Source organism: Homo sapiens, chromosome 4 (genome assembly GCF_000001405.40).
Source record: "Homo sapiens chromosome 4, GRCh38.p14 Primary Assembly".
NCBI lineage: Eukaryota > Metazoa > Chordata > Mammalia > Primates > Hominidae > Homo > Homo sapiens.
The window spans coordinates 170,995,094-171,007,385 of NC_000004.12; positions in this window are offsets into that span (position 1 = coordinate 170,995,094).

A 12,292-nucleotide genomic window follows, 5' to 3' on the forward strand; every position below is an offset into this window, starting at 1 on the left:
TGATGCTCTGTTGAATGCCAAGATGAAAACGGTATCTTCTTCTAGAGAGGATGGAGGTAGTCTACCCCTGTGATACGATAGTGAGTGTTGTCTATATTTTCCTAGGTGAATTTGAACTACTACATTTACACTCTTTGTGCGATTAAAAAGGACGTATCTTCCAGATCAATAAAAGCTTACCAAAAGTTACAGTAGGTATTGATCTCTTCTGGTAATGATATTACATCCAGCACAGAGCTGCAATTGAGTTTTCACATGCTTAATTATGCCGTAGTTCTCTGTCGTCTGCCATGATCCATCTGTTTCCTTTTTAAGAACTATGTAAGTGAATTAAATTGAGAATACAATAAGGTGAAATATCACTGAATCATTTGTGTATTTGAGGCAGCATTAACCTCTGCTGTTTCACCCAGAGTATCATTTGGCTTCTGATTTACTATTTTTTTCCAGGAGAAAGATGTGTAGAGTTTTAGGGCTTATCAGTTACCCTAATTTTTTCATTAGGGAACTCACTTCAAAGATTAGAGAACAAATGTGAGGTTGTTCCAGCTGCAAGTTATATTTATCTAAATTATGTACTTTGGTGGTGGGGAAAAGAAATGAGGTGGTTCTACAGCTTTTTTAGATCCATCACTGTGAGAAGAACTTGGGCTAAAATTTTATCATGCCACCATTTACCCTCAGTCCTACAGTTAAGTTATGATGGCATTTTGGTTTCCCTAGAATTAATGGAGGCTCAGGTCCTGTATCTAATAACCTCAAAAAGATCTGATATCCCTCTTTCTAATAAACAGTCACACAGAACAATGGCTATAGAGATACTGGTGAAAGATGGAAAGATCAGCTTTTGTATATAATTGCAGTGGTGTTCAAGGTTCCTTCCATAGAGGAACTAACTTATAATAGTATTTGGGCATGAGTACTCTGGATATTGAAAAACAAATTATAGTTTTCCATTATGTTGGCTGATACTAGCTTTCTGCTCACCAGATATTTATTTTTTTGTTATAGCCTCACTGTCATTCTATCATTCTTATCTATTAGCCATCATTACAGATTCCTGTGGGTCACAATCCCCTGGTAGACATTTAGTGGCCCACTGTGATAATTAATTTTATCTACCTTATTCTGGACGGTTAGGTACTATCGGCTAATCTCTCTAATTTAATCACAATGTGATGATTAATTTTATGCATCAACTTCGCTAGGCCACAGTACCTTGATATCTCGTCAAATGTTATTCAAGAAGTTTCCATGAGGTATTTTTTTATATAAGATTAACATTTAAATTAGTAGATTTTGAGTGCAGCAGAATACTTTCCATAATATGAGTAGGCCTCACCCAATTAGTTTAAGGCCTTAATGGAAAAGAATAAATAAATAGACTCACCTCCTCTGAAGAAAAGGCAGTTCTGCCAAAAAACCTCCCTGGATCTCCAGACTGCTAGACCCCCTGAAGATTTTAGATTCGCAAGTCTCCACTATCAGGGCCAATTCCTTCAAATAGATCTGTCTTTCTGTCTATGTCTTCCTCTTTCTCTCTTTCTCTCTCCATACGTATTTATATATTATTTGTTCTATTTCTGTGGAGAACCGTCACCAATAAAACACTCTTGTTTACAAGAATGGACTCAATTATATGAAAGTATCTCCTACCTTCAACCATAGTCTACAGCTGCAGCTGCCACTGACTATGGAATGATACACATGCAAAATATTTGTGCTTTGGTGAAGGGCATGCTTTATGGACTCTCTGGAAGAACATTAACATAGGGTGAGTTCTCTATTCTCACATGGTAAAATTTATTTTAACATGCTCCAGCCTTTAAGCTTACTGACATCTTCCTATATATTTTGACAACACATTTCTAGCATTTCCAACTCATTTTCTATAGGCCATTGTCATGTCTGAATTTTAAGAAATGGTCCCTGAAGGGATTTATTATCAACTATAGGTATCATTTTTATTATATTAAAAACAAAATTATGAGAAAGTGTCCCTTTGTCCATAAACATATCCTCCAGGGCTTTATTCTGTCTCTGGTCAACACCTCTCACTTCTTTTCAACACCCTCAATATCTACTCTCATCATGTTCCCTCAATTCCTGCTGGTATGTAGTATTGAAGTCCTGCAACTATTTTAGTAAACAAGCTAATGCATCCTATAGCTGGGATTACTTTTCTCTACTCAAACTGTGCAAAAACCAGACAGCCAATGGCTTATATGCCATGGAGAGGTATGATAGATCTTGAAAAGAATACACATGATCTTGGGAGTCATCTGACTTAGGTATGGCCTTAAGTGTTCTTCAATGAATGGCAAGGACCTTTTCCTTTGGTAAAGTGTTTCCTTCTTCTTCCTGTCTCCAGGATTCTGGGATATCTTAGGGTGTAAAAGTGCCAAGTGCATATACACAGATGTTCTTGTCCACATCTCTAGCTCCCACTCCTTCCTTTTCTTTTCCTGTCTATAGCTTAGAAGACCTGCCAGACTTTGTTTTAAGAACATGTCAGCCTCTTTTTCCATCAATGCTCTTATGATTAAATCCTGGGCCTTATCGCCAATATGATTTTCTGTCCAGCTTCAGAAGATGAGATTCTCTGCCAAGGAGGTCTTCTGGTTTCCACCCATGAGCTGAGAGCTGGCACACCTGAGCTCTGTAGTACTTCCCAGATGATTAAAAGCCAACTCTACAATCACTACAATTACTATTTTACCATATATTTAAAGTGCTAAAGTTAATGCATAAACAGTCTTCCATTTTCACCAGTATCTCACTTTAATCTATTATAGATGAGAGTCTTACGAATTGTTATTCAACAGCATGCCAGGAGTAGCACAAGGTCTTTTACCATAAGCAAAATGGTTTTTATTGTCATCTGGCAAGTAAGTAGTCTGATACTGGGCTTGCACTATGATTTTTTTAAGAGCTACTTGTGCTATCTACAGATTTATTTGGGTTTACTCTAGAAGTATGAGATCATGAGACAAGGACTTGAGTGCAAATAAGTTATTTTGAATGTGATCTCAGGTAGTACATGTGAAAAAGTGAGAAGAGTGACACAGAGAAGGCCAGAAACCACCCCCTGCTCAACACACAATGTAGTGCTGGTTATTATGGAGGAAACTGGCAACCGATCCTGTGTGAAATCATACACCTCAAAATCTTGTTATTTGAGCATTGAGACATTTTCCTGCTATTATCCCCATTGTTATGGATGGAATTTTGTCCTTCCAAAAAGTTGTTGAAGCTCTAGCCTCCAGCAACTGCTAATGTGACCTTATTTAGAAATAGGCTCTTTGCAGATGACCAAATTAAGATGAAGGCATCAGAGTAGGCTCCAATCCAATTTGACTGTGTCTCTTGGAAGTTGAAACATAGGAACAGATACACAGAGAAGGAGAATATCATGTGAAGAGCACCCAGTTTGTGGTACTTTGTTGTAGCAGCCTAAGAAACTTATGCCACCATTGAATAAGCGTTGACCACAAGAAATTTAATGCTCACATTTTCCTAGTTGTATCTGCTTGAAGCTGAGAGAAAACGTTTCCTTAGTGTCAGCCAGAGATCACCTCAAACGGAGAAGAGAAATGCTGTGATTGAAGTGATAGGTACCACGTGTGCTGCAAAAAGCCTGCTGTAGCTCCTGGTGATCTAAATTGAAGGATGAGACTTGGGAGAGCTCACCAACAGTATCAGTGACAACACTGCACACATTCTTATGTATTCTCACTTGAAACTATCGTTTGTTTTTATTTTTTGGTTTTTTTTTTTTGTGCTCCTGAGCACCTTGAAAGTAAGATTCTCCTATCAAAATCATAAAATCATAGTGATAAGATTTTGTTAAGTACCTATTGATGAACCTAAATCCTCAGGATTAGCAGTAGGACTCAGGAACTCTTAAAGATCAAGCATAGAATGCAAAATCTAAGAAAAAATTGTACATGGGCAGAATTTATGAATGACCTCCAATGACCTTTATCTTTGTATAACCCCTTCCACTTTGAGTATGAGAAAACCCATAGATATCTTCAGACTTCATTCCTATGACTATGTTATGTTATATAACACAATTGATCTTAAGATTGGGACACTACCTTGGTGGGCCTAATTCAGTCACCTGAGTTCTTTAAAAACAGAACACTTACTCCAGGTAGTGGCAGAGGAGGAAGACAGAGAAGAAAGCAGGAGAGAAAGTCAGATGAATTTGAAGCATTAGGGGAGGTTAATGTGCCACTGTTTCTTTGAAGGTGGAAGGACCATATGAGAAGAAATGCAGGCAAACTTCAGGGGTCAAGAGAGATGCCCAGCTGACAACCACCAAGAAACAGGGACCTCATTCTTGCAGTCTCAAGGCACAGAACATGGTATCAAAGCTGAATTAGGTTGGAAGTGGATTCTTTTCTAGAACATGTAGATAAGACCCCAGCCGTGCTATCACCTTGATTTTGGCCTTGTGAGACCCTAAGTAGGAATAAGCTGAGACTTGCCAGAATTCTGAAGTGGAGAACTGTGAGCCAATTTGTGTTTCTTTAAGCGTCTATGTTTCTGGTAATTTGACAACACAGAAATTGAAACTTAATACAAATAGTAAAGTGTGTAGTACATTTTTATGCTTTTAAAATATAATGGTGAGGGATGTATATGAACTATTTTAGTTAATGCACATATCTTGAACAACACTGATTTTACCCAGTGTTAAGTTCATAGTGCTAATTAGCAAAGCCTCTACTGTTGATACTAAAACAAGAACAACAATTATAAATAAGTAATTTAATAGTTTCTAGTGGTCTCATTGGAGAGGAATCTCATAAATTAAAAAAAAATAGCAGAATCCCATTCGTCTTGCGGTGTGGGTGGGTGGTAGAGAAAGTTGGAGGTGTGTTAAATTCTCTTAAATGGGTAAAGATGACAGTGAGTGTGGTAGTTCTGTTCTGTTCACCAAATGTTTCCACTTTTATTCTATATCATGGCAACAATGCACTTTCTAGGCTTCATGTGGTTGAATGGAACCTTGTGACTTGGTTTGTCCAATGAACTTGAAGTAGAAATTACATTTTTCACTTCCAGGCTAGACAATTGTAAATGCAATATCCTTCCTTGCTCTCTTTTTTCCTCACCCGGTAATATTTGAAATATTCACTCAGGTTCTTCTCCCTGGAAACCTAAGTAACTACAATAATAAGCACGGTTGTAGGTGATAATACATTTTACAAGGAAGAAATAGATGCTTGTAAATTTAAACTATGAAGATTTGAGAATTACCTGCTACCGCAAAATTAAGTAGACTATTCTGAATGATGTAGAATGTACACACAAGTGAAGATTTAGAGGGAACTAGCAAAGATTATGCTTCATGAATCCAGGTCTGGGACATCATTTCTATCTCAGAAGAGTATGGGACAGTTGTGTTCAGAAATGCAGGCAAAGTTGAAGGCCATGAGAGAGTTTAGCCCCAACAGTGTGAAAGCATAGGGAAATGCCTACTGCTCTGGGACCAAAATGGGCCTTAGCATAAATACTCTCTTCAGGGAATGCTATAGCAGAGTAAAAGCAGCAAAAGCGAGAGTGGCTTAAAGACCAAGGAAAGGGGCATACTACTTTTAGATTGTTAAGAATTAATCCTGGCCAGACATGGTGGCTCACGCCTGTAATCCCAGCACATTGGGAAGCCGAGGTGGGTGGATCACGAGGTCAGGAGTTCAAGACCAGCCTGGCCAACATGGTGAAACCCCATCTCTACTAAAACATACAAAAAAAATTGGCTGGGTATGGTGATGCGTGCCTGTAATCCCAGCTACTCGGAAGGCTGAGGCAAGAGAATTGCTTGAACTGGGACCCGGGAGGTGGAGGTTGCAGTGAGCCAAGATTGCACCACTGCACTACAGCCTGGACTACAGAGCAAGACACCATCTCAAAATAAAAAAAAAAGAATTAATCTTGGCCGGGCGCAGTGGCTCATACCTGTAATACCAGCACTTTGGGAGGCTGAGGCGGGTGGATTACTTGAGGTCAGGAGTTTGAGACCAGCCTGGCCAACATGGTGAAACTCCATCTCTACTGAAAATACAAAAATTAGCTGGGCATGGTGGCTCTCGCCTGTAATCCCAGCTACTCAGGAGGCTGAGGCAGGAGGATAGCTTGAACCCGGAAGGCGGAGGTTGCACTGAGCAGAGATCATGCCACTGCACTACAGCCTGGGTGGCAGAGTGAGACTCCATCTCAAAAACAAAACAAAACAAAAGAATTAATCCAATGTCTTTGAAATCGTATATTTGTTTATACTTAATTTAGGCCCAACCTTTAAATTTAATGGTGATTCTTTGTTTAAACTCAGATTTAGACACCACAAAATTATTTGAGTCAAGATTAATTTATTACATTGTATGCATCACTTAAAAATACTATAAAGATGTTTTAAATTAAACAAATGAAGATATTGAACATGTTTTGAGCGTGTTTTTTCTTTCTTTTTATTGCTAAACATCTCTCATTACAGACCTTTCTTGGCATTTATTTCTTGACTGTAGACTTCATTCCTTTACTGAAGAATTATAATTTATGTCACACATATAAACTCTACCTCTAAAACTTTTATTGTAAGCAAAGCTACTGATAAATTATAGAGATTCATGGGAACACGAAAAGTCTATGTAATTTCTATTCCTAAAGATTGTGCTAACATAAATGAAAACAAAGGATTATTTAAAATTCATGTTTCAATTAAAAATGAAAATAAAATTAATTGTTTTACTACTATATTTTATAAACTTACTTTGATTTGCTGCTTCAGAAATATTTCAGTGAAATATGTTGTTTTTTTCTTTCAAAGTATTGTTTCCCCTTTACATATATCTAACAATGAGGTTATTTTTAAACTCAAAAGACATACAATCCCCTGACAGAATACTAGATTTAGAGAACAGTGATAGTGTATCAATCCATGTGTTTGAAATAAACTCCATATAAGCAGTAAAAATGGTCTGCATGAAATTGCTAATGAAATCTACAATTCTAAATATATGCTTTTGTCCTTAACTTTCAATGATTTAGTAAGCTATTTATGAAATAAAATTGTTACATGAATTGTTTAGTTTCCTAGAATGAATTATATCAGGATGACAACTAAATTTATGTCCTTTTATTTGATATACTATCATTTTATTTATATTGGAAAGATATAGATAAAATACTGTGTGAAAGAGTTTAATGATTCTGAAAATTTCCCATCTTCTACTCATCAGCTTTTCAATATTCTTTTTCCCCTTGTAAGTTTTCTGACTATCAGTTTTCTATCATAAGTAAATGAATAACAATTTTATAAATCATCAAGGTCATTTTAGCTGATGAAGCAAAAATAGATCACTTGCATTGCTACTTTAAAGTCAAGTGTTTCATTGAGATAAAATACGAATCATTTCCCATTTTATAGTCTATCTTGTGTTAAATATTTGAAATATATTTGAAGAGTATATTTGATAGACATAAGAAAGTTGTTCATTATGTTATAAATTTTTAAAACATATCTTGTGCTAAATTTTTGAAATATATTTGAAAAATATAATTTTATAAACATCAGGAAATCATTAATTATATCAACAAGTGTTAAAAATATAAGGAAGCAATATAATAACTTCAGGTTGGTATCCGACCTTTTCAAGGGTACTGCATGATTTGATTCAATATACTTACAGTCCAACTTTTACGGAGAAAAATATTACAATTATTTGCACATGAAGGCGATCCAATGATTATGCTATTTCTAGGTTACCTAAGGCAAATAGGTGCCATTTGGGGACCATGAAGGAAGTTGTATCTTAATCAGTGTTAGCAACACCTTAGAGTGCATAGGAATTACTTAGTTAAAATTGTGGAATCCTGACCAAACCTATAGTAATTCTGATTTGGTAGACCTGAGCTATAGTCATGAAAGTTCTGATAAATATATCATATGTGATTTTGATGGTAAAATCCCATAAATCCAGTTTCAAAAAGCTCTTTTATAATGGAATTTTAGCCAAAGTCACCTAATGCTGTTATGTTTTCACAGTGTGGTACACCCATGAGACCGTGCTACCAAGTTGGAAAGATTTTCTTTTTGTATATTTTTTTCTTAATAAAATTATATTTATTTTAAATTCAAAGGATACATATGTTTGTTTGTTGTATGGGTATATTTTGTGTTGATGGGGATTGGACTTTGGTGTATCCATCACTCAAATATTGAATATTATCCCCAGTAGTTAATTTTTCAAACTTCGCTCCTGCCTACCCTTTCCTTTTTTGGAGTCCCTAGTGTCTATTATTGTCGTATTTATGTCCACATGTATCCATTCTTTAGTTCCCAGTTATAATTGATAACACGTGGTATTTGACTTTCTGTTTGAGTTGTTTCACTAGGATAATTGCCTCCAGCTCCATCTATGTTGCTGCAAAGGACACCATTTTATTTTTTATGGCTACTTCACATTCTACGGTGTTTACACCACATTTTCTTACCCAGTCAGCAGTCTGTGTACACTTAGGTTGATTCTTTGACTTTGCTATTGTGAATACTGCTGTGATAAACATACAAGTGCAGTTGTCTTTTTTATATAAAAATTTATTTTCTTTTGGGTAGATACTTAGTAGTGTGATTGCTGGGTTGAATGGTAGTTCTACTTGTAGTTCTTTGAGAAATCACTGTACTAGTCTCCATAGAAGTTATACTAGTTCTCATTCCCACTAATTGTGTATAAGCATTCCCTTCTCTCAGCACTCATCCATGTCTGTTTTTTGACTTTTTAACATTCTGAGTAGTGTAAGATGAGATCTCAGTTTGGTTTTAATTTGCATTTCTCTAATGATTAGTGACGTGGAACATTTTTTAATGTTTTTGTTCGATGCTTGCATGTCTTTCTTTGAGAAATGTTTGTTCGTTTTCTCTGCCCAGTTTTTAAATTAGGCTGTTTTCTTCATATTGAGCAGTTTGAGTTTCTTGTAGATTCCGGGTATTAGTTCTTTGTCAGAGGCATCATCTGTAAATGTTTTCTCCAACTCTGTAGGTTGTCTGTATATTCTGTTGATTCTATCTTTTTCTGTATAGAAGTTTTATGGTTTAATTCCCATTTGTCTATTTTTTGTTTTGTTGCATTTGCTTTTAGGGTCTTCTTCATGAATTATTTACCTAGGCTGATACCCAGAATTTTTCCTAGGTTTTCTTCTAGAATTTTTATAGTTTCAGGTCTTAAATTTAGGTCTTTAATTCATCTGGAGTTGAATTTTGTATATGGTGAGAGTCAGGGATCCAGTTTTGTTCTTCTGCATATGGTTAGCCAGTTTTCTCAGCACTATTTATTAAATATGGTGTCCTTTCCCCATTGTTTATTTTTGTTGACTTTATTGAAGATCAGTTAGTTGTAGGGATGAGGCTTTATTTCTGGGTGCTCTATTCTGTTCCATTGATTTGTGTGTCTACTTTTGTATCAGTACCATGCTGTTTTAGTTATTATAGCCTTATAGTATAAATTGAAGTCAGGCAATGTAATGTCTCTTAGAATTTATTTGGCTATTTGGGCTCTTTTTTGGTTCCACATGAATTTTAATATTGTTCTTTCTAATTCCGTGAAAAATGAAATGAATCTGATAGAAATTTCATTGAATATATAAGTGTCTTTGGGCAATATAATCATTTTAATGATATTGGTTCTTCCAATCTATGAGCATAAGATGTTTTTCTATTTGCTGGTGTCTTTTTCAATTTCTTTCATCGGTGTTTTGTGGTTCTTCTTGTAGAGATCTTTCACTGCTTTGATTAAGTATATTCTTAGGTTTTCTTAGTGTGTGTGTGGCTACTGTAATGGAATTGAGTTATTAATTTGATTCTCAGCTTGATCATTATTGGTGTATAGAAATGGTACTAATTTTTTTTACATTGATTGGATCTGGGAACTTTACTGAAGTCACTTATCAAGTCTAGGAGTATTCTGTAGGAGTCTTTAAGGTTTTGTAGGTGTAGGATGATGTCAACAGTGAAAAAAAATTTGACTATCGCTTCTTTAATTTGGATGCCTTTTATTTTTTTTTCTCTTGCCTGATTACACTGGCTAGAAATTCCACTACTATGTTTAATAGGAATGATAAGAGTAGACATCTTTGCCTTGTTTCAGTTCTTAGGAAAAATGCTTTCAATGTTTCCCCACTCAGTATGATGATGATTATTGGTTTGTCATATATGGCTCTTATTATTTTGAGGTAAGTTCCTTTGATTTCTAATTTGTTGAGGACTTTTATCATAAAAGGATGTTGGATTTTTATACAATTATTTTTGTATCTATAGCGATGACCATATGGTTTTTGTTTTAAATTCTGTTTATATGGTGAATCACATTTATTGATTTGCATATGTTGAACCATCTTTGCATATCTGAAATAGAGCCCATTTGATTGTAATGAATTATCTTCTTGGTGTCCTGTTGGGTTTGGTTTCCTAGTACTTAGTTGAGAATTTTTTGCATCTATATCCATCAGGGATATTGGTCCATAGGTTTTTTTGTTTGTTTATTTTGGAGTTATTGTGTATTTGACTGATTTTGGTATCAGGGTGATACTGTATTTGTAAAATGAGTTATAGATAATTTTTTTTGTCAGTTATTTTGATACGATTTTTCAATAAGATTGGTTATCTGCCATTCTTTGTATGTCTGGCAAAATTCAGCTGTGAAACTGTCTAATCCTGGGCTTCTTTCGTTGGAATTTTTTTTATTACTAATTGAATTTCATCACTTGTTATTGGTCTGTTCAGGGTTTCTATTTCTTCCTGGTTCAATCTTGGGAGTTTGTATGTTTCCAGGAATTTATCCATTTTCTCTAGATTTTCTAATTTGTGCATATATCTTCATTGTATTTGTTTGTGTAATGGAAACCCAACTATTCTTGTCAAATTGTTCAAAATCTTCATTACACTGTATAGACACTATTTAATCAAGGATATGTAATTTATAGGCTTAAACACCTCACTGACTAACTTTATACTTTCAAATGGGAAGAGTTATTCACTGCAAATGGCAATTATTATAAACTTTCAATTCTCAGAAGTGTTTTGAAAATTAATGTTAACAAAACAGTGTCAATGAATGACAAAACCAAGATGTTACAATATTGTATAAATATAAATAGAGAAAATTGCATAAGAAATAAAATTCAACAATATTTTTTTCTGATAGAATTAATTGCAAAAGGAATTACAAACTCAATTACTATCTAGAGATCTTAGTTCATTTGATAACATATACATAAACAAAGGTATGGAATACTTTAGATTGGCTGGTTTCCGGAGGACTGAAGAGAAAAGCACTTGATCACAAGAAAGAAAACAGATTTATCTAATTTTTTACTTATAGTTATAATTGAATTCACAAATAAAATTTAATTTACATTACTGTAGGCCCTAGGATTAATCAAAGATGCTAACAGTGTCAGAAATTTTAGACTTCTCTTAAAATCTTCATAATGACCAAATGAGACAAACCAGGGGCAGAGAAAACACATAATTCTTATGTGTCAGGCTTGTGGGTTGTGCCTTCCACATTAATTCACATGTTTAAATAATTTATATTTTATGTAATTACCAATATACTTGATATTAAGTCTTCCAATTTGCTTTTTATTTTCTGTGCCTCCCATCTGTTCTATGTGCAGTTTATTTTTATTTCTTGCCTTTCATGGTTTGATTATTTTTTAATAATTTCATTTGATCACTAGTATTAGCATTTTAGCTATATGTCTGTATTTTATTAGTTAATTGTTGTTCTAGGATTTCAAGGCACATCTTTTACTTATTGCCTTCTACTATCAAATAACATTATATTACATCAATAATAATGTAAAAATCTTAAAATATGACCAGTATTTGCTCTCTCTGATTCTTTGTGCTATTGTTGCCATATATTTTTCTTCATATGGTATAAAAATAACATTATTATTATTTGTTTAACAGTTATAAAGAAAAATAATATAAAATATTGTATATTCACTTTCAAAAGTATCACTACTAGCCATCTTTATTCTTTCATGTAGATCCATACATAAATCAGGTAGGATTTTTCTGTTGAGTAATAAACATCCTTAACATTTCTTGTAGTGCAGGTCAGGTAGGGATTCATTTTCTCTGCTCTTACTGATCTAAAACATTTTTATTTAGTGGAGAATAGAATTTTAAGGTGAGCATTTTTATTGTTTTGTCTTTTGTAGTCAGTATTGTTTAAAATATAAATTAATTAAAATATAAATGTATTGTCATCTGGTATGT